The sequence below is a fragment of the Homo sapiens genome, chromosome 2, assembly GCF_000001405.40.
Source record: "Homo sapiens chromosome 2, GRCh38.p14 Primary Assembly".
NCBI lineage: Eukaryota > Metazoa > Chordata > Mammalia > Primates > Hominidae > Homo > Homo sapiens.
Window position 1 is genome coordinate 77,061,657 of NC_000002.12, and position 27,208 is coordinate 77,088,864.

Consider the following 27,208-nt stretch of genomic DNA (forward strand, 5'->3'; position numbering starts at 1 on the left):
ATACATATATATGTATCAAACCAACTCTCAAATAGTTTTCCATTATCCTCCATATTGAAAGACCTACCACATAATGCCCATCCATTAAATTCTATGAAACTATGATTCATTAATGTGAACAATCATGAGTTAATTGAACAAACTTTTTTGCTCTTTTTATACATATACAAACCAATCACGCTGGATTATCATCACTGCCTGATGAATAAATTGAACCCAAGTTGACTTTCAAAGTCATCTACATAGTATTTAATAGTTGATAGCTGTTAATGAGCCAATTAAACAAAATATTTAATGTAGACTTCTTGAGAATGTATAAACCACAAGTGACCTTATAAAGTACAGTACGATGAAAATAGCTAATGTTCCAGAATATGCTTGTGACAAATGTGTCCGGGGCATAGAGAGGTGAGAGGAGTGACTGAAATATTTTCGTCATTGGTCAGTGATGGATTGAATTAACCCTTGGGAAAGATCCACTTTTTCTTTTTTGGGGGGTGGCAGGCATAACTTTCTGCATATTTACATTATTGGACACTCCTCCAAACTGACAATATCCACTTACATTATTACACAATAATTCTAAAATCTACCAAAATGGAAACATCATTATTTGCAGTTTATTTTAGCTTCTAAACTAAATTAATCAAAAAGCATATGTCAGGGAGAAAAGCAGTTAAGAATGTTATCCTTTAAAAATGTTAGAGTCCTACATAACAGAATTCGAGTCCCTGCAGGAAAATGATAAAACTCCAGAGTTGAGGAGAGTAGCTTACACTTGCAATTTAAGGCAATCAATTTAAAGTTAATAATAATTTTAATCAGTGTTTAAACTGATGAGTAATCTGATCTGGTAATTATTGCAGATTTTCCAACTCCACAAACCCTTATCTGGAAAATGACCTCGTACTTCTGCCTACTCAATATGCATAGTGATTATACTGATACTTTAAAACCCTAGAATAGAGGAGGAGAGGCAGGACTTAGATGGTAACTCAGGTTCCTTTTTTTTCTCTCTGTCTCTGTCTCTATCTCTTCCCAACATAACATATTCTTTAATTTTCAATGTATCTTATTGTTGCCTCCAGGAATAAGCAGGTGGCTTATGGATCTCCAAAGTTTAATCACTTTTAAGTGTTCTGTGATGTTGGCACAAGATACAATATTCTGCAGTACAGATGCAGGATAGTAGAAGTAGGCCTTCATTGTTGTCAGTGCAAATTGTAGGATTCAAACAATATTCTAAGATTTTTCTTCTGTGTTCAGTTCCTCTTGTTCTTTTTTAAAATTATTATTATCTTTTTTTTTTTTTTTTTGAGACAGAGTCTTGCTCTGTCGCCCAGGCTGGAGTGCAGTGGCACGATCTCGGCTCACTGCAACCTCCACCTCCAGGGTTCAAGCCATGCTTCTGCCTCAGCCTCCTGAGAAGCTGGGACTACAGGCACATGCCACCATGCCCAGCTAATCTTTGTATTTTTTTTTTAGGAGAGACAGGGTTTCACCATATTGGCCAGGCTGGTCTCGAACGCCTGACCTCGTGATCCGCCCACCTCGGCCTCCCCAAGTGCTGGGATTATAGGCGTGAGCCACTGCGCCCGGCCTCCCCTTGTTCTTTTTATGGTAGCATAACCTAATTGTCATCATTGTGTCCAGGTTTTATATCACAGTAAGATCTCCAAAGACTTGTTTTACATCTCTTGGGTTAATTCTATTTTGAATAGTGTAATACTGCCTTCTTAGCCTGTGTATTTGCTAACCATGCGGCCATTATTTCATAGGCCTCTCTGTTTCTACCAAATTACCTGTACTGTTAAAGTTTTGGGAAGGAAATACATGAAGTAGAAAAATAGAGCTTTTTTTAATGATATCAATTGTTCTACCAACAGAAGATACATGTGTAGTCTCTTTCAAATTAGCATTTTTATCCAGAAGTCTTTAAAATATGTTATTGCACATAAGAGGAAAATGTTTTTCAAGTTAAAAACCAAATCAACTCTTTTTATAACTCCCAAAATTCAATAACATTAAAAATTGGCCATTATTTTTGGTCAAAATTAAATTGAGCAGAGGTTGGAAACATTCAGTTTCAAACATTACCCATCCTGCCAAATGTTTATTATAATAAACTAAAATTTTTGAATGTATAATAAAAATGTTTAATTCCTTCTCTTTGTGTTCTTCCCCCATCCCATCAATTGAGCAGGCTACTGTTCTTGGACATTGAGAATATTTCACTAAAATAAAGATGACTAATGGCCTAGATTTTTTTTTTGGAAGGAGACTAAGGCTATTTGGAAAAATAGATTCAAAAGGAAAAGTGAGAAAAGACATTAAGTTTACTGTTAGTGTGTGCACGTGTCTATATACTTACAGCTTGACTTTTAAGGAGCAAGAAATTCTTATAAGTTGTTCCTTATTTTTTTTAAAAATGTAACTATGCAACATGGAAACATAATTTAAAAGAAATTTATTGGGGGTAAAAGTTAACATTTTAATCTCAAAACTGATTCAGCTTTGGTTTAACAAAAAGGATTGGGGAATTCTAATTTTATCCAATAAGTACTTCCACCCTAGATAATGTTGCATAAGCTTAAAGAAGTGATAACTGTAAAATGATGTGTTGCAACAGTATGATTATATATCATTTAAAATAGGCCTTCAGTGGGTAACCTGATAATTACCCCATTTATTGTGGTATATATATAGTAGAGATAAAATAAAGCATGGAAAGCTACAGAGGAAGCTAAGAAATGGTATCTTAATAACTTAATTTGAAAGTAGATTTCAAAGTTGGCATTTTCTTCCTCTTTGAGAGTTTCAGGGAAATTGTGACAGATGACACATGTACAAATGCTTTTGAAAGTCACCTGTCAAAAATAATTTCACATCACAGTTATCAGCTATCTTCTTCAGGCTAGAGAAGTATGTGCATATCTTAGAAGGGCCCAGTTTATCATCAGGCAAGTTTCCACTCCAGCATTAAGTTCGGGAGTGTATCATCAATCATCACCTTTGCCCCACAAGATGAATGGTATCTTAGATTTGCTTGATGCTTTTACTTCATATAATGTAAGAAATTTATTTCCATAAAATTATCCACCTCTTTTGGGGAAAATATTTGTCACAGATTGGGGGGACTTTTGGATATGCTATCTGGGCCGTGCTTTTTTCGTACCCTGCTTTCTCTGCCTTTTCTGATTTACAGACTTAACCTACCCTTGACTTAACCTACCCTTAGCAACCTACAGAAGACATCTCCTACATTCTGGAGCCTGCCCATTCCCATACAACTAGTCCTTAGATATTATATGACTCTGATAAGACTTTTTAATTAATGTTCATTATAGCACCTATTGAACTCAACTGTGGCTCATTTAACATATCGATTCAACACCTGGAATAATAATTAATAATAATGTTTTATTGAAAAACAACCATGTATCAAGTATTATGATGGGCAATTCATAAGCATTATTTCATTTAATGCTCATCAAAATCCTTTCAAGGATTACTATTCCCATTCAACAGGAAACTTAACTAATTTGCCTGTTGCTAATTAGGAGGCAAAACTCCTTTTCCACTCAAATTTGCTGGACTCTTGAGCCATGCACTTTTCTCATCTCTATATTAATTCCCATTGATAAGCTCAGAAGTTATAAAGATAAACATACAGTCCTTGCCCTCAGAGAACTCACATTATAATAATGGCAATTAATTATGAAAATTATATTTAAAGTGCAATGTAAAATTAATGCATGTCCTGCTCTTTATTGACCTTTTTTATTAGGTCTTATTATCCTCAGCATCTCAACATTGCCGTAGAGGATGCTAAATACATGTTTGTTCAGTGAGCAAATAAATACCACTATTACTACTATATGCTACTAAATTACATTTTGTAACAACATAGTCTAACAGAATAACACGTTGGATTATATGAAATGAAATTTCATGTAATACTGAGAAATGCCTGGGGCTGTGATTCAGGAGAAATATACTCAGTATTAGGAAACAGAGTGTAACACAGGAACAAGACATTTTGCTAAAGCTCAGTGAATTCCTGGTCCAAGCCAGGAGCCTTTGTTAATCTTATTTGAGTCTCCCCCCATTAGTTAACAGAATGGAGTTAATTTCCAATTCACCTGCCTATCATTTGCCTGGTTGACTTAAACTCTGAGATGCCATTTTTATATTGGTAAAAAGGAGAATGATGCTAGCCTTATGTATCTCACATGAAATGAGATCATACATGTGCAATACTTGCTACAGCACCAAGCACACAGATAATGCTTAACAAATGCTTGTTTAATGTAAAACGAGATCTAATAGATCTATACAGTATGGAATCTCTATAGAGCAAATTCAGGATGGTGCAATAGAAGCTACAGCTTCTCAGAGAAGAATAAAAATGGTGTACTATAACTTTTTCTATGGATTTTACAATGTGAATACTAAGAACTCACTCTAGTATGAAGCAGAATAGCATACTGGTGAGGAGCTCAGATACTGAGTTAGATTGCTTATTATAAATTCCTGGTTCTATTAATTTCTATTTTTGTGACCTTCAATATAGTACGTAGGTTTTTATGTGTCTCAGTTCTTCATCTATAAAACTGGGTTAATCATAGAACAAGAACTACTGAGTCTGTTGTATTAAGTGGATAAAACAAAAAAAGGGACTTAGGACAACAGTGCCATGTAGTAAACATTGTAAAAACAAAAAGACTAATAGCATCATCTTTGCAGGTACAGCTACCTGTGGTCATTGATTCATGCTGTGAAGTTCAAGTTATCTAAGTTAATTCATTTTTAAAGTTCAAGCTTTGGCAAAGAGCCACTAAGACACACAAAAACCCGTATATTAATGAATGAGATTTGCGAAGCTTAATGTGAAAGTTCAACAGTTTCCCTTTATTGGAGAGCATCTACTATAATAAAATGCCAACATGAAGAAAAAAGATCAAAGGCCCTTATTGTCACAGAGGAGCTTACTATGTAGAGAGAGGTATACAAATCGTATAGAGATATGTAGGCATATACATGCATATGTACCTGTATATTTTTACATAGGAAAGGTATGTGTGAAGTATTAAAATAATAGGAGCTACTAAAGATTGACATTTTATAAAACAGAAATTAAAGAAGATGTGACATTTGGTTGAATTTGGAAGAATGACTAATTTACTCAAACCAGTATGTCTGGTAATGTTGTGCATGTATGTCCAGTACCCATGCATGGCTGGCAGAGAGAGCGGGGCTGAATCCCAGGCCATGAAGTGATCACAAACCTAATATCTTTGCTTGGATTCCCCATGGGGGAAGTGCCAAACTCCAAATTTACTTCATGACAAGGTATTGGCCAAAGAGGAAGGGGTTCTGACACTCCGTTAGAATTAAAGTATAGCACATTCCCAGTTAATAGAACTGGAGATAAGTCTACTTCTGATTGCTTTACACTGCCTATTGCAACATGATGTTGGAAAATAAGCAAAGTGAGTATCTGGCAGGAGACAATCTGAACTTAACATCACTTTTTTTTCTAATTTTTATTAAAATGACTGAAGAAAGAAAAGAATGGACAACATGTAAAGCACTTTTAAAACTTAAGGGAAAATCCTGAAAACTAAAGGAATTTCTAAAAGATAAATTACAGGTGAGATAAAAATGGTGGATGGCCTCACTGTGTATTGCAAATTAGAGAAAAGTACCCCTAGATAATAAAACCTGGCACTAAGCTGGTCAACAACAACTTCTAATTAGGATCATTGGGCACCTACAAAAAAAGGAGAGCCTCCACTCAGGCAGTGTGGGTGGGGGGCTGGGTATGAGACAATGAGTTCAAATGTAGATACAACTAACAAATTTTAAAGAATCTTTTTAAGTATCAGATGGAATACCGTAGAAAACAGATCAATGATTTAGAAAGTTAGAACAAGAATCTTTCCAGAACTCAGGAAAAAAAAATAAGAAGATACATATTATGAAAAACATAAAAAGAAGGATTACGGTGATTGGTTTTCAAAGATACGTACACACACACACACACACACACACACACACATACATATTTCAGGAAAAATGAAGAAAACGGAAGTCACAGGAGCAACAACAATCCAATGTATACTAATTTCTGAGCCCAAAGGTAGCCTCACATCAGAAAGTCTCTTAGTGGATGTAGTCAAAATTAATGAAAAAATATATAATACATACAATTGTGAATATAAAACTAATCTTGATGACCATCAAAAAAAGGGAAAGTGATATATTTTCATGACATTTCTTAAAGTATCATAAAATAAATTGAAAGTAAATTGAGCTATTGCCTTGCATACTATCAATTTATACGGAGGATAAAGGAATATATTAAAAGTTATAAATTAATACATTTTTACCAATCAAATGATATAAATACTAGAGGTGATATATGGACAAGAGATATAGAGACTATTTCATTTTTCATAAATATAGAGACTGGTTTATTTGTGTATAATCTATTATGGAAATAAGACCATAAATTTCAAATTGTTTAAAATACTACTTTCCGCTTCCTAAAAAAATCTGCCTATTGAAAAGGGAGAACATCTGCCAGCTAGAAACTTGTAAGTTGTTTCACTTGGTTCTTAATGCTTCCTGTTTTTTTTTAAATTGAGATACACATCACATACCATAAAAGTCACCTTTGTAAAGCATAAAACTAAGTGGTTTTTAGTCTCTTCACAGAGTTATACTATCACCACTGTCTAATTTTGGACCATTTCCTACACTCTAAAATGAAACCTAGAAACTGCTAGCATTCATTTCTCATGCTCTCTCAATGGGAACCCCTGACAACCATGAATCTCCTTTCTATCTTCCTAGATTTGCCTATCCTGAACATTTCATATAACTGAATTTATACAATATGTGACATTTTCTGTCTGGCTTCCTTTAATTGTATATGTTTTCAACGTTCTTCTATGTTATAGCACATACTATGTTATGGTACTTCATTTTCTGACATGGTTAGATAATATTCCAATGTGTGGATACACTACATTTTGAAAGCTGTTATTCAGTTGATTGACATTTGAGGTGTGTTGGGAACAGGCCCCCCAAAATCTGGCCATAAACTGGCCCCAAAACTGGCCATAAACAAAATCTCTACAGCACTGTAACATGTTCATGATGGCCATAAGGCCTACGCTGGAAGGTTGTGGGTTTACCGGAATGAGGGCAAGGAACACCTGGACCTCCCAGGGGTGAAAACCGCTTAAAGGCATTCTTAAACCACAAACAATAGCATGAGCGATCTGTGCCTTAAGGGCATGTTCCTGCTGCAGATATCTAGCCAGACCCACCCCTTTATTTGGGCCCATCCCTTCGTTTCCCATAAGGTATACTTTTAGTTAGTTTGATATCTATAGAAACAATGCTAATGACTGGCTTGCTGTTAATAAATACATGGGTAAATCTCTATTCGAGGCTTTCAACTCTGAAGGCTGTGAGACCCCTGATTTCCACTTTACCCCTCTATATTTCTGTGTGTGTGTCTTTAATTTCTCTAGCGCCACTGGGTTAGGGTCTCCCCGACCGAGTTGGTCTCATCAGAGGTGTTTCTCATTTTGGCCGTTATGAATAACATATATATTATGAATATAATAATACTATTAACATACATGTACAGGCTTTCATGTGGATACGTTTTTTAGATTTTCTTGGATATATACCTAGAAGTACTGGGTCATATGGAACTCTACATTTCACTATGTGTGTGTGTGTGTGTGTGTGTGTGTGTGTGTGTGTTTGTGTGTGTTGGAAGAGTTCAAGAAGGATTTGTGGCAATTCTGTTTTTAAATATTTGGTAGAATTCCCCAGTGAAGCCATCTTGTTCTGGACTTTTAATTTTGTAGAACTAATTCAATTGTTTTACTTGTTATAGGTATATTCTGGTGTCCTATTACTTCGTGGGGGTAATGTTGGTAGCTTGTGTATTTCAAGAGATTTGTCTATTTTCAACTTTGCCTTAGCCTTTCCTTCCTAGTTATGTACAGCTTCATAGCCAGCCACGAGAGCACAGGGCCTTCTAAAGTCTTTCTTGAGCATGTTCACAACTCTGTATATGTGGGTGGCTTTCTAGATTCTCTGGAATATATAGTAGTTTTACAAAGATCTTATGGACATCACATTCTTTAGCTTTATCATTTTCGCATTTTAGTTATTCTTTGCCCAGCTTTTGGCTTGTCTTTTCTATCTGTTGCCTCAGGCAGCTGCAAAGTTGAAAACACTTGCCTGTAAAACATATTTCAGAAATACCCTCTAAGAGAAAGCTCTTAGGCCTGGCAAGCTCCAGTTGGGTCAAATGAAAACAAGCCTTTTGAATTAAAACTTACAGGCAAGTACTGCACAGATCAGATTATATATATATATATAAAATCGGAAATGAGGCTATGAATGAGCTATCGCGTGCTTCTGCTTTTTCCAGAATGCAGGCTATTTTATTTTTGGCAAAAATATATCCGAGTTTGAAATCAGGGAATGGGACTATGAGAAGATAAAAATGCCACCAAATTCATGCTTCTTACAGAGGCTCAGTCATTTTTTTAAAAAATAAAATACAATAAATGCTCCACAGGTTGCTGCATGACTTTGGTTAGTTTCAACAGTGATGAAAATGTTACTTCTGACAAACTTTTGCCAGTTTTTGAGTTGACTTTATTGAGAGACAAATTTTCAGAAGTCCTTTCTCTGCCATTTTCATGGATGTCACTCTCTCTATATATATATTTTAAAGATAAAACATAAATGACCAAACTACATCCTAAAAATGTTCAATCTTTCTACCTTGCAGAAAAGCAAACTAAAATATTATTATCACTAAAAATTTGACAAATGGCTTTTATTTACTCATTTTTCTATTTTCCCTTCAAACATTTCTACTAAGATATTGTATCTTTTTTTATAACATTAGGTTATAAAGTTGATTTTTTTGTTTGTTTGCTTCTTTGTTGTTTTGAGACAGAGTTTTGCTCTTGTTGCCCAGGCTAGAGGGCAATGGCATGCTCTCCGCTCACTGCATCTTCTGCCTCCCAGGTTCAAGCAATTCTCCTGCCTCAACCTCCTGAGTAGCTGGGACTACAGGCACGCACTACCATGCCCAGCTAATTTTTGTATTATTAGTAGAGACGGGGTTTCACCATGTTGGCCAGGCTGGTCTCGAACTCCTGACCTCAGGTGACCCTCCCAAAGTGCTGGGATTACAGGTGTGAGCCACTGTGCCTGGCCAAAAGTATTTTTTTGAAATAACAATTTTAAAATTAAATGGCTGTTTCTTTCAGAATATTGACATTTGAATCCCAAGTTACCCTTGGGATTACTACCTGTGCATGTCTAATATTTTATTCTCCTTTTTGTTTTTTATCTCAGAGATCACACATCCTTTGGGAATAGTACACGTAGGTAAACACAAGAGGATAAAGAGTATTTCACAGAAAACTTTGAAATACACACCTTCAATGCCAAAAACAAATCATCAAAATCTTCGCAAAGGACGTAAAAATGATACATAAAATCCCACTGTCCAATTTAGATTCTATACAATAATTACATAACTTAAACTTTAATTTGTTTGTGCTTCAGAATGCTCCAACAACAAAAATTTTCCAAACCTATATTCTTTTTGATATATGCATATTTTGTTATGGTTATCCAGAGACCTTCACATGCTTATTAAATTTCCAATATGCATTATTATAATAAATACAATGAAAATTGAAAATTTATGAGTGATATAAAGATACATCTCTGGTATTTCATATATTCATTAAAATATGCCCAAACTCTCAATATTTTAAGTGTATTGAAATTTACTAAATTAGAATCTTGCTCCTGAATTCTTCTAAAGGAAGACTAACAATAGCAATAAATTATAATTATGCCTAGAATAGAAAGAAAAGAGAAACGGAGATTTATTCCTGTAACATTATCTAAGTCTGAATAGGACTATTAAAAACCTGAAGTTCTAATCACATAAAAATTATGAAAATGTAAAAACAAATCTAAATTGTTTTCTTGTTTAATAACAACCAACTAAAGAATTTGTTCCCATTCATGGGGATGTATGCTTCAGAGTTTTACAAGTAGCAAAATTCAAGAATATACAGTATCTGTTGTTGATAAAGAAAAATCTTCAAACAGGATCCAAAACCCAGCATTTGTGAAGGAAAGTTGAGGACACTAGTGTCCAAGCTTCATCTACATACCACCTCCACTACAGCTCAGGCCACATCGGGCTAGTGGGTGGTATAAAGTATGAGAATTAATAATATTTTTTGACTTGGTAAGACTCTCTTATTTTAGTTTGGATCATTGAATTATGCAACTCCTCTGTCCCTCAAAAATTCTGACTTGTTTTTGACTAATTTGAAAATATACATTATTAATACATTTTTATATATACATTAAAATAAAATTTATCTGAAAAACTCAGAGTCATAAGAATGTTATTAAATTTTCAAATGTTGAAGTCTATGGTGTTAATTTAAGATCCCAGATTGAGAATAATGACTCCAGTTGGCACCATAAAAATGGGGAAAAATTAAATCAACTAATTACAGTTCTGACTCTATTTAAAAAGTATAGGTTAATCTCTTTTAAATGAGTGGGCTTTAGCTGAATATCTGCCTGACTCATGTCAGCATACTTATAAACTTATACATTTAACATGTTTTTCATTGCAATTGAAACATTATTTCTGTGAAAAAACCTGATGGTCTAAACACATAAATATATTTTCTCTCAAAATAGATGAATCCAAAGATTTAGAGCATATAATTAATTGAGATTCCAACATACAATCCTGGGTCACCCAAGACTGCCTTATAGGCCAGACACAGTGGCTCATGCCTGTAATCCCAGCACTTAGGGAGACTGAGGAGGGCAGATCACCTGAAGTCAGAAGTTCGAGACCAGCCTGGCCAACATGACGAAATCCCGTCTGTACTAGGTATACAGAAAATTAGCCAGGTGTGGTGGCACCCTCCTGTAGTTCCAGCTACTCGGGAGGCTGAGGCAGGAGAATCGCTTAAGCCCTGGAGATGGAGGTTGCAGTGAGCCAAGATCACACCACTTCACTCCAGCCTGGGCGACAGAGTGAGACTCCGTCTTCCAAAAAAAAAAAAAAAAAAAAAAACAAAGGCTGCCTTACAGTTTCCAAGGTTTGTATGATTTTCTCAGTTATTCGGCTACTTGCGTCTGTCAGATTACCATAGAAGACTTTGGAAGATGATGGTTTGTTAAGACAGAAGAAGCATAAATATTATTCTTAAGCACACTATATAGATTGTTGCTTCCTAAAGTGTGATGTTAATATCAATAGCCTCATTGACATCAGTTGGGAGATCTTTCAGCATGCAGAATATCAATCTGCATCCCAGACCAGTGGCATCAGAATCTGCATTTGAACAAGATCTCCAGGTGATTCATACACCTGCTATGTTTCTGATACAGAGGCAAACACTATTAAATATTTGCTGGTTCTTCAGTGTTTTTTTTTTCCCTAGTATGTTATAGTTTACATATTCATAGAACTTGACAATACTATAAGTATTTTCTTATGTCATTAACATTTTAAAATATTACTTTAGAATTCCATTATCACATATACTTATTGGAAAAAATTAGTAAAATAGGCCAGAAATTAAATACTATCCAATTCTTCTTACTTAGTGTAAAATTTTGGTCTATATTTCAATCAGATAAATACATTAATTATTATTATCTATTATACATAGGATGAGGAATTATATAGCATTTCCAGTACAGACATTTTCCTTTCCATTATTTGTTTTTTCTATGTTATAATTCCTTCTATGAAAATGTTTTCAATGTGATCCACACAAATCATTAGCATTTTTTATTATGAACCTAAGGATGAATCTTAGAGAATGTGCAACAGTCTTTCTACACCAAAAGATATTATTGATTTCTGAATTTTCATTTTTTCCATAATCTTCAAATACATTGAAAAATATGGGTATAATGAGTGAATGTGAATATAAGATGAATTCAAATTTCATGTTGCAGAAAACTCTCATTTCCCTTCCTTTATAATGTTTTTTTCTGTCTCTCTCTCTCTCTATATATACAAATATATATTTCACTTTACAATAGTTTTAAAAATTCACTATGGCTAAATCTGTGACCTTCAGCCAAGTATTTTTTTTCTGGGAATCTGGTGAAGCTTCTTGATTTTTATGCTAGTCATTCTTTTCTTCAGCTGAGGGCATTTTATTTAATAAATTTAATTTTACCATTTATCTTTATGAGAAATGCACTCTTCGTTAGTTCTACATGGTTCTTCTTATAAATAACATATTGTGTACATTTATATTTTTCCCCTACATTGTTTAAAAAGTTCACTCTTCTTATAAATTTTCAATATTGCATAGTGATATTTTATGTTTTGTTTTCTTGAATGCAATTTTAAATGTCTTAATGGATATTTTAACTGGCTCCAACTTCATCTGCATCTATTTCTCATCTAATTTTATGATTTTGTTTTATCATATCTGCATTTATACTTGTTATAACATAGATGGTCTAACCTAACCAGCCTTTGCTAACAGTGTGAGTGTGAGGTTTCATTTGTACATCCTGTGTTCTTGGGCATTTGTACATCCTGTCTTCATGGGCCTGGCTGATCATCTTCAAATTTGGAGCTTGGAAGTGAATTATTGTCCACAGTCCCTTGAACACTTTTTTCTGTTGAAACTGACTTTATCATTTAGGAATTAGTAGTAGTAAGATCATATCTTCTGTGTCCTCTACTGCTTGGAATTATAAAAAACTGAAGGCTGAATATTCAACACCCCTGTTATTAAGCTTATGGTACTCTATTTCTGGTGATGGAATTTCCAAGTTTTCACAACTCTGAATTTGCCTTACCCATTTTTACATATGTGTATATATCTGGCTGGATATATTTTTTATCACTGTGAATTATAGTCTACTACAAGGAGAAAAAGAAGTACTGATTTTGGACAGAGAGAAGGAGAACTATTTAGAAATTAGTCCCAAAACATTAGCATGAAAAAAGGTCAATTGTTGCAAACCTTGACTTTCTAAATCAAGAAGTGGACAAAGGTAAGAATAGATTTTCTTCTAATTGTTGGTTGGCACTGAAAAGTTGTGTCAGAATTTGAATTAGTCAAATAAAATTCTATTAAGTTATGGTTTAAAGGAAAACCAGTTACATTGGCAGAGGTTTGACTTAAGTTTCACTTTTTTTCCAAGATAACAAGATATTTTTTCTATGTTTTTGTTAGCATTTCTGTGGAAACGTATTTACCACCATATCTAGACTCCTAACTTGTTGCTAATTTAAAACCAAAACTGTCTCTGAGACACAGAAACCAGATCAATATTCTTGCATAAAAATTTAAGATTTATTTTATTTTATTGTCATCAATAATGCTTTCCTACATAGTAGATAATATGTGAGCTGTTTCTGCTAATACCTGGTAACTTTGAAGATGAAACAGATCAATGTCAAGTATAGATGTTACACCCTTTCAAAACTTATACAGAAATTGATTTTGGAAGGAACAGTTTTGTTTTTAATAAGCACTAATTATTTGACTATTATTTCTACAACTTGTAAATGTTAGGCTTAACCACAAATTAATTGGAAGTCTGTGTCAGTCTGTTTATTTGTCTCGATAAGAAAATCAGAGGTTAATTTTTAAAAAATTTCTTCAGACTAAATAAAACCTTGGCTTTATATGTAGGTTTACATTTCACAGAAGTTTGTGTCTTGTTTCACAGTAATTAGGAGGATATAGCCAAGGTGGCAGCAATACTAATACTACTACTTAGGATCCCTTTTGTAAACTTGGCATAAAAATAAGGTCTACATTTTTCTCTCATACACTCAAATTGTATGCAAATATGATGATAAAAATCAAAATTTAAAATTAATTTTCAATTTTGTTTTAAAAATGGGGCCGGGCGCGGTGGCTCACGCCTGTAATCCCAGCACTTTGGGAGGCCGAGGCGGGCAGATCACGAGGTCAGGAGATCGAGACCATCCTGGCTAACAAGGTGAAACCCCGTCTCTACTAAAAATACAAAAAATTAGCCGGGCGTAGTGGCGGGCGCCTGTAGTCCCAGCTACTTGGGAGGCTGAGGCAGGAGAATGGCGTGAACCCGGGAGGCAGAGCTTGCAGTGAGCCGAGATCCCGCCACTGCACTCCAGCCTGGGCGACAGAGCGAGACTCCGTCTCAAAAAAAAAAAAAAAAAAAAAAAAAAAAATGGGATGAAGAATTAAGCTGGTTTCTGATAAGGTCATTCATTCTGAAGTCTGATGCAGAATCCTTTCCAAAAACTATTTCCATTTATATCAGTACTTTCTCCTAGCACTATGTTGGTCAGTAAGACTTTTGACATTTACATAAAGCAAAAAGGCATTTTCATTCTCTTGGAGCCATTCTTTGAAGAGAAAGATGCTGCAGCTAGGGAAAACATTAATTAAAAGCCCATCTAACATAAATGGCTTGTCACCAAGTTACCATACTTAGCAGAACTTACACTGTCCTTGGAAGATAGAAAAATTCCTTCAGTGTTTGGTTTAACTTGAGAAGTTAACTACTCTAATTTGTAGCAATACATATTTTTCACAGGCTGCAATGTATTTGCATATTTTAAATACTTTAAGGAATGTATCATCAAATGAGTCCCTAATGGAATGTAATTTAGTTCACAAGTTAAAAAATGGGATAACAGTTTCAGCCCGTTACTCCCCTAATGCTTGAAATATAGTCAGAGAATGAAACAAGCAGTGTATAAAAAACAGATATTACAGTAACAACTGTCACGATAATGAGAAGGATACACTGTACTGTTTTTGCTTAGTTATAACAAATGAGCATGAATATCTTGTTATGTTTCTTCGGGGAATAGTATTAATTCTTTCTGCTACATTGAAATGAAGCATGGTTAATGTCACTGAATGTATATCTAAATGACTCTAAAATGTTACATTAATAGAAATGATAGAATAAAAGTCATGCAAATGAGTAGAATGTTTATGTCCTCCATATTCTTTAGTTTTTAAGTTGCGTGATTTTGAGATAACATTTCATTGTCCAAAGTATCGATGAATGTCATTTGATTTAAAAAGTAGCCTTTGAGAAAACAGAAACTGTGAGTGCTACATTATTACTAGAGCTATGCCAGATTATAAGTACTAAAATTTACATCAGTCATCCCTTTGTTAAGAAGCATCCTTTTCTCTCCCCTGTATTTCCCCTAGCAGTAATGAGGTAAACAATAACATCAACAACAATAAAAATGCAGCAACTCTAAAACAAGCATTTCAACTATTGTAATCCATTCCCTTCCCCAACAGCTTATTTGTTGATTAGTACCTAGATGGTGTCTGACAAGCAAAATTTATTTTCCTGTGTATTAGAATGTACATAGAGTATCACACCATATGCAAAATTCTATAGAGGTAGAATAAAGGATAACTATATTGATTAATGAGTTTGATATAACACTTCTTTTCATGTAGCAAATCATTTTATCACTTAAAACAGAAGTATCAGTAAATTGTGCCATAGATATCACTAAGTGACTTATCCATACATTTCCTAAATAACTATAATCAATCTGAAGATGTGAGATGGGGGCAACTTGGTCCTATAGTAAGACTAGCTTATTCCCAGTCTAGGAACATGGTAAGTTTTATTATATCCTAATAGATAGTACAAGTCAGACATATTAGAGATATTTTCAAGTTCTTCCAGGAAACATTTGGAATTAAGTCAGAAATGTTGGGAAATTTTGGTATGAATATATCTCCTTTAGACATTTAAAAGTCATTAGAACTGCCTGTAGAGCATGGTGGAAAACCCAGTTCATTGGAGCTGTAGAAGATTTTTCTTACTCATATTCTCCAAGTATAGCTCAGTGATCTGGGAACCTACTGAGATAATTCCAGTGCCCAAGATCCACAAAGACATCTAGCATTGTAAATATGGCTCCTGGGAAATTATGGAGAATGGGAATAACTAGCTCTAAAACATAGAGTATGTTTTTGGGAAATAAATCCCCAAAAATGCTTCTCAGTCTGTCTTTATATGTGTGGAACATACCCAACAACTTCTAAAAACAATAAGTTGACCCATATTGAAGGAGTTTGCATTTTGATTAATAAGCTATATAGAACACATTCATGGTAATTAGCACATGTCAAATAATTAATCTTCATAGCCTCATTAACAAAGGGAGCATTGCATTTTTAAGTGAAGAAAGAGAGACACAAAGAAGTAATTTGTGTTCCCTTCTGTTTTCATCAGGTGTTTGAATCCCAGTTTTTCACTACTTACAGGCAGTGAACTGCAGACTTTACTTCCTTTCTGACACAGTTGATCTACTCTTTCTACTGTCTACAAGCAAGAATTTCTTTGTGTTTTGCATTTTTACCTTTTGCTTTAAAGCAATAAGCAACATTGTCATTAACTTAAATAAAAATACCTCCATAAGCCATCTGACATTTCATTGAAAATTCTGTCATTTATATCTGCCATAAACTAATCTAACAATAACTGGCAATGTTGAATTTGTTCTAAGTGTTAGTTTCTCTCGTTGCTATTTTCTTTTCATACCTAGTTTCTTCTAAACCAACAACAAATCTAGGAAAGATAATTTTATTGAAAAAAATATGTTTGTCTATTACACACACACCCACACACACACACACACACACACACACATGTTCTGGTGCACTGCTCTGTGATCCCAAAAATAACAGAGGAATTAGCGATAAAGTGACAAAACATAACCAAGTTGCCTGAGCTGAACTTGTTCTTCATTATAAAGTGTATATATTTTTATAATCAATATTTTATTAACATAGCAAGTCAGAAAGCCTTTTGTATGGATAAGCTGTCATGATTTATGGTAAAACAATTGCCATTATGTTGGGGAGATGCTACCTTTTGATTCATTGACAAAAATCTGTCATCATCTGATACACATATAGTTTAGTACAGTGACAAACCTTGTCCAGCAAGCAAAAGGCTATAGAAAATATGTACAAACTTCTGTTAAAATTGCCTTTTCATTAGGGAGATACATTGAAATACCATCTTACTTCATTCCAGATGCTCTAACAAAATACTATAGACTGAGTAGCTGATTAACAATATAAATGTATTCCTCACAGTTCTGGTAGCTGGGAAGTCCAAGATCCAGACACTGACAGATTCTGTTTCTGGTGAGGACTCTCTCCCTGGCTCATGGGTGGCTGTCCCTCAGTGGCAGAAGGGGAGAATGGGCTCCCTTGAGCCTATTTTATAAGAGCATCAAATGCATTCATATAAGGACTAAGGCCTCGCGATCTAACACTTCCCCCAAAGCTCCACTTTCTAATACCATCACATTGAGGGTCAGGATTTCAACATATGAATTTTGGGGGATACAAATACTGAGACAATAGCAAAGACACTACAAGTAAAAAGAAACAACTGACATAAGGGAAACTGTTTTCTGCCAGTAATAGATTTGTACTTTATGACTATTTAACATTTCAACTTTTTTTATGGAGTTAAAGCTAAGGGTTAGAATTTTAAATGCAATGAAGTCTTGCGTGGGAATTGGCAAACCATGGTTTGCAAGCCAAATATGAACCAGTGGCTATTTTTGTAAATACAGTTTTATTGAAACACATCTGTGCCTACTGATTTACATATTGTCTGTGGATGCTTGTATCATACAATTGCAGAGTTGAGTAGTTAGGACAGAAACCTTATACAAGCTTGTGGCCAAGGACACTTTGAATGCAGCACAACACAAACGTATAAACTTTCTTAAAACATGAGATTTTTGCAATTTTTTTAAAGCTCATCAGCTATTGCTAGTGTTAGTGTATTTGATGTGTGGCCCAAGACCATTCTTCTTCCATTTGGCCCAATGAAACCAAAAGATTGGATACCCCTGCTGAATGACCTGCACATCTCAAATATTTATTGTGTGCTCCTTTATTGAAAAGGTATTCTGATTCCTGATCTTCCTGTTTCTATGAAGCTTGATAATTATTAGTTAAAAGTTAGGTAAGTGCTATTTATTAAATAGGTAACTGCTATTTATTAAATAATAGAATGATGGTGATTTTTATTTCTAATTTCTATTCTTTTACTTTTTTTTAGTTTTCTGTATGTTCCAGTTTTAAAATGATTTCTACAATTAAAACATTTTAAATTTAATTTTATATATACATTTTATGATAGAAATATATTTTTAAATGTACCTTTAAAGATTAAACTGTTTTGTTCTTTTCCAACAAAATTCTCCAAAGAGTTATTTATATTCACTGTCTGCAATTCTTTTATTTTCATTCTCTCTAAATTTATTCTCATTTGGATTTTATCTCAACAGGACTTTAAAATTACTCTCATTAAACCCTTCAATGGTCATACATTGCTAAATTCAATGTTTATTTCTTGCTTCTTTTCTTGACCTATTAGCAGCATTTGAAAAACTTAATAACTCCCTTGAAATTCTTTCTGTACTTGGCTTCTAGAATTCTATGTACATCTGATTTCCCCCTTACATAACTGGTTGGTTGTTTTCAATCTCCTTTTTTTGACCTTTATTCTTCTCTTCAGCCTCATGTTAACTGTCAGTTTCCTTTGAGCACTGTCCTTGATCACCTTTCTCAGTCTGCACACTCTCACTGTACACATCCCATATCCGACTGAAGTCTCTTTTATAAGTTAACAACTCTGAAATGCATATCCTTATGTTATTCTGGAATGCAGAAGTATATTTACTACCTTCTTGACATCTACCCTTGATAATCTAACAGGCAAATCAAATTTGACCTGTCTATAATTGAACTCTTCACCACAATTCTACCCCAAATTGACCTTTCTGGAATCTACTTTATCTAAATTAATGGAAATTCTGTCTCCAGTGGTTCAAACTAAACACTTTAAAGTCATCCTTGACCTCTCTCTTTCTCATTTTAACAAATTATTTAACACTTTAAAAAATTATGGTAGCTCCACCTTTATTTTATGTCTAGAACTTAAGACTCACACCTTTTATTAGGAATGCAGTTAATGCCCTAGTCTGGGCCATCATCATCTCTTGCCCTCAAGGTACTTAACAATGCCTATAAAGCCTTCTGTGCTTAGCGCCCAGTTATTTCTCCTTTACTATTACTTTGCTCCTGTTTCACCACCTCTGCAAAGCTCTACCATGACAGGAAACACTCTCCAGCTTCAGGGCTTTTGTGCTTGCTCTTTACTCTGTCCACATCCCCACTTCCCAACCAATTCCCACAACCCAGCTATGTACTAGGTAACTGCCTCAATTATTTTCTTGCTTTAATTGCAATTTCTCAATGCCTCCCATGCTGCTTATGTAATTTATCACCTTTCTCTAGTCTTTTCAGTTCTCATTGCCTTTGGTTTTCTGTGATAGCCTATAATTTGCTTTTTGATCATGTATACTTTTTATCTGTCCCTCTTATAGAAGCTAAGCCCCAAGAAGACAGTAATTGTTTCTGTTCCCTAAAGTATTCCCAGCACCGAAAAATACCTGACAGCAACACACACACACACACACACACACACACACACACACACACACACATAAATTTGTTGGAAAAGAGCAAAATGTTTAACCTTTAAAAGTACATTTTAAAATATATTTCTATTATAAAATGTACATTTAAAAGTAAATTAAATGTAAAAGGTGTTCACATTATACAAATCATTTAAAAATTGGAACATAGAAAGTTAATGAATAGAAAATGAAATAAAAATCACTGATATATATATTTAAATAAATGTGTAAGAAATTAATACATATATATGTGCACATAGAGGTAAACATATCTATCTGCCACTCACTCCAGAAGAAGTCAAGCTTTCATCACTTTCACAAATTTTATTGTACATAGGTGACTTTCTTCCCAAAAAATGGCAAGTATATTGTCAAGTTTGGGGTTCTATATATTTTTCTCAAATCTTATTTCATTAGCAGTTTATCAGTTAGGAAACGTATTCTGGATAGGCTTTTAAAAAATTGTTCTAGACCTAATTTTCTGATAATGCTGCACACTGAAAAACTGTTTAACTTTCTTGCCATGGGGTATTGCTGAGTCAACTAAATATCCTTTTAGACCAATCAGATCATTCCTGGAAGCAATACTCCAGTAGTGACAGTCACAAAATCTATTAGAGAATCTACCAAGACACATTTCATCGGCTTTTTGGGTTTTATTTTTAAATAGTCAAATAAATGAAAACTTCTATCTAAATTTCATCACAAAGAGATTACTGTCTTACAATCCATACATATTATTTGAAAGATTTAGCATTACCTAGTTTAGTAGCTATATGTTATACTTTTGTTTTGTATTACTGCTTATTTAACTTTTTCTATCTTTCAAGAAAACAAGTAGATCCAAGAAGAATACTTCATCTCTTGAAGACCTTTTCTTAACTACTTTTCTGTCCTAATTTCTTAATATCTTTATTCTTCATGTAAAATTCCAGGAGTATTGATGTGCCCTTTTGGATTTTGATTCTGAGGCACAGCTTATTTTTGCTTTTCCCAGTTGCTTGTATTAATTCACGAACAATTTTTTTTACTCTTATTTTATTTCTTGGACACTTATGATGTGTCTCATATTGAACTCTATGCGAGAGGGACCCAAAATTCAAATACCTTACTATTATGCTGTATTTTGTTCTTTTCATAAGTTGTGTCATAGAAACAAATATTAATTTTAAATAAATTTAGAAACAACGTTTATGGTAAATTTGTACAACTTCTGCTGTTGAGGACAAATTTTCAACATCACTTAAAGCCTTTACCTATAGAATTTATTGTAAAAGGTACCATTCTTATATATATATAGGTCAATGCAGAAAACTGCTGTTAGCTTAATAAAGTGAAAAACAGTAAAGATAAGCCAGTGCGTCAACACATATACATGAATATATTTGAATTTATCTCGCTAGTTAAAAAATATTAACATAAAGTAGAGAAATAGAAATATCCTATTTGTTCTGGAATTAATGTCAGAGAAAAAAAGTCTATTTTGAACATGTTTGTTCTTCTCTAACAAGTATTTCTTTCTATGATGTCACGTATTTGCTCTTTTAAAAAAAGACACATCTGCCTTGTTTTAAACATTATATACATAATAAAAGTAATATTTTACTATTTAATCATTTTTATAACACATTACTTTAGAAGAACGACTTGTTGTGCATCTTATATTTAAAATAATTTCATGCCCTTAGATATCTCCCTAAAAGAAAAATTACTCAATAATTTGATATTTTCAGTTTTCTTGTTTTATCAATTTATAACTTTTAAATATATCAGTATACACTTCTGATCTATATTAAAAACTGTATTCTTATGTTTCTGTTTTTAGTAAATATATTCAGATTCATTCATTATTATTTTTATGAGCAAACCTGGAAAATTTCAATCCCTTTAATTTTCCATAAAACAATTGCAGCATGGTGGAATTCCATGAAGGACAAAGGCTACAAAATGCAGGAGAGATATTGTTAATGTCTTCAGTTTTCTGATCAGCTATTCCATGGTGCAAAGGATCTCAGTAAGTAAAAGCTTTGGGTTGAGCTCCATAGTAGGGGTCCTGAGGAGTGCTGATGATTCTTTAATATCCCAAATTCTCAGGGATTCTTAAAGGTTTGCCAACATAGGCACCAAAACAACATAAGATGTGCCATAGACTGAAGTCAGAACTTGTAGTCAATAAAAAATCTACCACATATTTCACCAACCATTGATTTTAACAGTGGAAACCAGTAAGCTGACCAAAAACATGACCAAATTAGCTACACAGCAATGAAAGCTAGTCCTGAAAATATTAGACAGTCAGATACTGTGTCTGAATATTAGATAGTCAAGTACTGTAGCTAGTCCTGGAAATACTAGATATTCACATACTGTAGTTTTCTACTTCATGATGAACAGTTAGTAAAGATCAATTATTCTAATGCTCCTTTCACTCACTCTGGTAGAGTGTTGATTGTTCTTCAGTAATGATTCTTCCTTTCTTTCATAGTAACAAAACTTCTCAATTTTTAACTGGACACACTTTTTTTTTTTTTTTTTTTTTTTTTTTTTTTTTTTTTTTCAGACGGAGTCTCGCTCTGTCGCCCAGGCTGGAGTGCAATGGTGAGATCTGGGCTCACTGCAAGCTCCGCCTCCCGGGTTCACGCCATTCTCCTGCCTCAGCCTCCCGAGTAGCTGGGACTACAGGCGCCCGCCACTGCGCCTGGCTAATTTTTTTATATTTTTAGTAGAGACGGGGTTTCACCATGTTAGCAAGGATGATCCCCATCTCCTGACCTCGTGATCCACCCGCCTCGGCCTCCCAAAGTGCTGGGATTACAGGTGTGAGCCACCATGCGTGGCCCTGGACACATAATTTGTTTAAAAATAAAGTGTGTAACTAAGGTCTCACCGATAATATATGAACAGAAAGAAAACTTGCGGAAACTTTCAATGAACATTACTTCAAAGAAAATTGACCTTGTCTTTCGCTCATCTTCAAGTAGTCTTAGATTCCGACACTTGTAATATGGGATGTGATGGCTAGGCTAGTTGCAACCATCTTGAACCCCGAAGATGAAGACCATAGCTGGCACTGAAGGGTGATGAGATGCAATCAGCCTACGTCCTGAGGACTTTGTGAACAGAGATTTTATAGCGGCCTTCAGAATTTTATTTCAGAAACAAGTACCCCTCTTGTTTAGCTATGTTTACCATGTTGTGTTCTTTCTCACAGCCAGACATAACTACGTATCGTACTTAATATTTCCATATTTACCCTTACATTATTTATGGTAAGTTGACTAGTTTATGCATGTTTTAACAATTGTCTACATCCCCTGCTGTACATCTACATGTAATGGTTAAGAGTATAGCTCTGTAGCTTGACTGATTTTGGTCTGCCATTGACTAGATGTGTTATATTTTCAAGTTATTTAACCTCTCTAAGCATCAGCTGGTGTCATCATGAGATAGTTATAATAATGGGACCTACTATTTCATAATATTGTCATAAGAAACCATTTACAGACTGTACACAGGGCTCTGCATAGATGAAGATATACATGAAGTACTAACATTTATAAGTGGTAACAATTATAAGTGGTAGGAAAAGTACTAGACAATGAATGTAGGCCAGAGTTTAATGTTTAATAATGGTAGTGATAATTTTATGCATATGTACATATACATAAGCAATTTTAAATTTCAAAAATCTATTGTAAATTCAAAGCTGTTACTTTTGTTATGTGAAAAAGCTTACAATGCTTATAATGCAACAATGGATGTCAACATTTCAACTAAAGCTACTTTGATTTTAGTAGGATAATTTTAAAAGAAATCCTTTCTATTGCTGGAAAAGAAATATTTTTATGTGTTAAATGGGCTAGTTTTAGAATTTTAGATACAACTAAATTTATGAAGAAATATTTTAGGCTACTATTGGTCTTTAATACATTTTATTTTATTTCATTTTATATATATGGTAAATCATATAAACTTTTTGAGTGATACATTAATTTCATAGTAAGCCTTTTATTTTTGGACATTTCTTACCTACAAGAGTGATCCACTAACAATAATTTAAGAATCATTGTTTGAAGAGTTGAAAGAAAATACATTCAACTGGCAATCCCTCACTTTTTTTTTTTTTTGCCTGTTTTAAGGATGTTATTTGTATACTTTTGAATCTGATGCTATCTCTTTCTAAATAAAAGACAGATTAACTTATACTAAAATTATTAAAATTATTAAAGATTTATATAGTTTCCTATTCTCTTTAAAACATGGAATCACGTATTAAGAAGAGCAATGTGGCTTTGTATTCTAGGGAAAAAATACTGCCAATATGCCATTTGTTCATTTTCAGAAAATACTATATGAAATACCATTTTCCGCTTGACACAATTGCTTTAATTTTTAGCAAGAAAAATGTGTCCGACTAAACAGAACAATCGAATCATTGTCTCTTTCAAAAGTGGTGTCATATTCTATGTCTCTTTTCAGTATTGTGTACATCATCTAATGATTTTCTGTTGGCTTAATATGGCTTCTTATCACAAACTGATTAGCTAATGTAAAATATATAGAGCTAAAATGATTTCTAAGTATTCTCAGTTCCTAAATCTTTTAAAGATTTCCTGTTGGCCTATTTCTAGCCTCACAAAACTTATGTGGGTAATGAGGAGCCAAAAGGAAGAAATTTCTTTATGCTATTGTCACTCCACAATGGACTGAAACGCAGTATCAGTCCATTTTTTGAGAAAGGGAGAAAGTACGTGAGTTAAATTCAATTTTAAAAATATCCTATGAAAGATGGCCTTGATTATATTTGTTAAGTAATTCAGAATTTCACTGAAGCCGGACTGTAAAAAACCTTAATAATAATTGAAAATAATCATAGAACATTTTAATGTGCCAGCCACTGTTCTACACACTTATACTAATTCACTTAATCCTGACAGCCATCCAAGGAAGTAGAAACTGTTATGTTTATTTTGTAAATAAGAGAAGTGAGTCAAGGAGGATCACAACTGGTTCAGGTCTAACATCACTGACGTAATAAAGCCAGAGGCAAGTTTAGGTTGTCTGCCTCCAAAGTTTATGCTTTTCACCAACATAATTTGTTGTGTCTTAAATTTTGCATATTTTTTACTTTTTAAACATTTTTAGTGTGTGTATGTGTGTGTATGTGTGTTTTCCTTTTAGGAACTCATGATTGCAGGTTACATATAATAATTTTTTTTTTTTTTTTTTGAAATGGAGTTTCGCTCTTTTTGCCCAGGCTGGAGGGCAATGGCACAGTCTCGGCTCACTGCAACCTCTGCCTCCTGGACTCAAGCCATTCTCCTGCCTAGCCTCCTGAGTAGCTAGGATTACAGGCAGCCCAGCACCATGCCTGACTTTCGTTTGTTTGTTTATTTGTTTGTTATTTTTAGTAGAGACGGGGTTTCACCACACTGGCCAGGCTGGTGGCGAAATCCTGACCTCAGGTAATCCGGCTGCCACAGCCTCCCAAAGTGCTGAGATTACAGGTGTGAGCCACTGAGCCCGGCCTATATGTAATAATTTTAAAACCTGCTTGGTAAAAGCCTGTTAACCCCAAACACAGTAAATTAACAACACAATTCAACGTCAGAAAACAGACTCCTGTTTCTGGCAGTAATGTTATCTAAATAACCTCCAGAAAAAACAACTGACAAAGCACACCTAGGCATTCTGGGTTTAATATAAAACTGCAACCTTTTAAACCTTGTAGCTGAGCTCCCAGCGTAATATTGCAATTATCAGAAACACAAAAGAAGATAGAATTGAAAATCAGAAAGTTCATACCAAAACTAAAGCAACCAGTGTATAGCTGCTGATCTTATGAAGCAAGAAGCTTGTTTGTTATGCATCTTGAGTTTTAATAATGGCTCTGTAGACAGGAAACAACCTCACAGCATCAAGAGAGTGGGCATACATACACAAATACACACAATCAAGCTGAATTCTGAAAGGCCTATTTCCTAAGTGAATTGATGAACTAGAAACATTTTTCCTGTTGACAAATACAAAACTACAAGAGATTTTACCTATCTAGTCCTAGAATCTGGTAGAAACAAAAAATCTCACCCATAAAAATCTACAATCACAGGCTGCTCTCAGCAGTTAAGAATTTGATTTTATGATTTTTGTGTGGACCAGGAAAAAATGCCAGTTAATAAATTCATTTTAAAATTTCCCAGGTTGGTAGTAACCCAGAACACCTGGCTGAAAGCCCAAATGTACTCAAGGTACAGACATTCAACCAATGTTTACAGAAATTTTGCAAATTACATCTTGAGAAACTTGAGCTCACCACTTAAAGTTATCAAATACATGACTACAAACCACCATCAGTGAGAATTATCAGGAACAATAAGAAACATAACTGAAGCCCAACAGCATAGGATAAAAATAATCAAATTCATTGGATGCATACAAAATTAGTATGTTTACAGATATAATTGAAAATGATACAAAGGTACATAGCATTATCAAAATAGAATGAGAATATATGTAAAATAAAATGTATACTAAAGAAAAATATTATTTAAGAAGAGCTCTTTAAAATGTGCTAAATAACTAAAGAGATAATAAACTGATAGACGTGTGTAGAAAATAAAGTAGTGAAAATATGCAAATATATGTCTTTGCCAAGGTTCCCTTTTTCCAGAGGCAAAAGATCATATGCTATCCCTTTATTGTTGAGTGCAACCCCAGAGATGCACAGGTGAATGAAAAGGGAAATAAAGCAGGGAAGCAGGGACAACAAATACAAGTAAGTGTGCTGAATGTGTCACTGAGCTAGCTACAGCTTCATGTCAAGTTAAATGATTGGTCTTGCCTGAACAAAGAGGAGAAAAGAGAAGATAATTTATTTTGATTACTAAATTTCTTCTGCTGTTTGTCAAAGTTTACTGCCTACGTGGTTAACCCCATATACTTCCAGGTGGCACATAAATGGGTATCACACAGAACAGCCTGAAGCAATCGCGTCCCCTGTGACTTGCACGTATACGCCCAGATGGCCTGAAGTAACTTAAGAATCACAAAAGAAGTGAATATGCCCTGCCCCACCTTAACTGATGACATTCCACCACAAAAGAAGTGTAAATGACCGGTCCTTGCCTTAAGTGATGACATTACCTTGTGAAAGTCCTTTTCCTGGCTCATCCTGGCTCAAAAAGCACCCCGACTGAGCACCTTGCGACCCCCACTCCTGCCTGCCAGAGAACAAACCCCCTTTGACTGTAATTTTCCTTTACCTACCCAAATCCTATAAAACGGCCCCACCCCTATCTCCATTCGCTGACTCTCTTTTCGGACTCAGCCCGCCTGCACCCAGGTGAAATAAACAGCCATGTTGCTCACACAAAGCCTGTTTGGTGGTCTCTTCACACGGACGCGCATGAAATTTGGTGCCGTGACTTGGATCAGGGGACTTCCCCTAGGAGATCAATCCCCCGTCCTCCTGCTCTTTGCTCCTTGAGAAAGATCCACCTACGACCTCAGGTCCTCAGACCCACCAGCCCAAGAAACATCTCACCAGTTTCAAATCCGGTAAGCGGCATCTTTTTACTCTCTTCTCCAACCTCCCTCACT

At 34.4% G+C, this 27,208-nt stretch overlaps 1 protein-coding gene across 4 annotated transcripts in view, besides 3 other annotated features; it reads right to left on the reverse strand.

Moving 5' to 3' along the window:
* The window catches only part of LRRTM4 (leucine rich repeat transmembrane neuronal 4), a 774,692-nt gene that overhangs the window by 313,972 nt on the left and 433,512 nt on the right, over nucleotides 1-27,208 (reverse strand). The gene's annotated exons all lie outside the window — the stretch shown is intronic.
* Nucleotides 26,095-26,598: an enhancer, noted in NCBI's record as "OCT4-NANOG-H3K27ac hESC enhancer chr2:77314877-77315380 (GRCh37/hg19 assembly coordinates)". NCBI's record gives its function as "activates a minimal SCP1, AML or CMV promoter by ChIP-STARR-seq in naive and primed H9 embryonic stem cells {active_cell/tissue: H9 hESC(naive and primed)}" and the evidence as "EXISTENCE:reporter gene assay evidence [ECO:0000049][PMID:30033119]".
* Nucleotides 26,599-27,103: an enhancer, noted in NCBI's record as "OCT4-NANOG-H3K27ac hESC enhancer chr2:77315381-77315885 (GRCh37/hg19 assembly coordinates)". NCBI's record gives its function as "activates a minimal SCP1, AML or CMV promoter by ChIP-STARR-seq in naive and primed H9 embryonic stem cells {active_cell/tissue: H9 hESC(naive and primed)}" and the evidence as "EXISTENCE:reporter gene assay evidence [ECO:0000049][PMID:30033119]".
* Nucleotides 27,021-27,208: part of a mobile genetic element, noted in NCBI's record as "direction; forward", that runs on past the window's edge.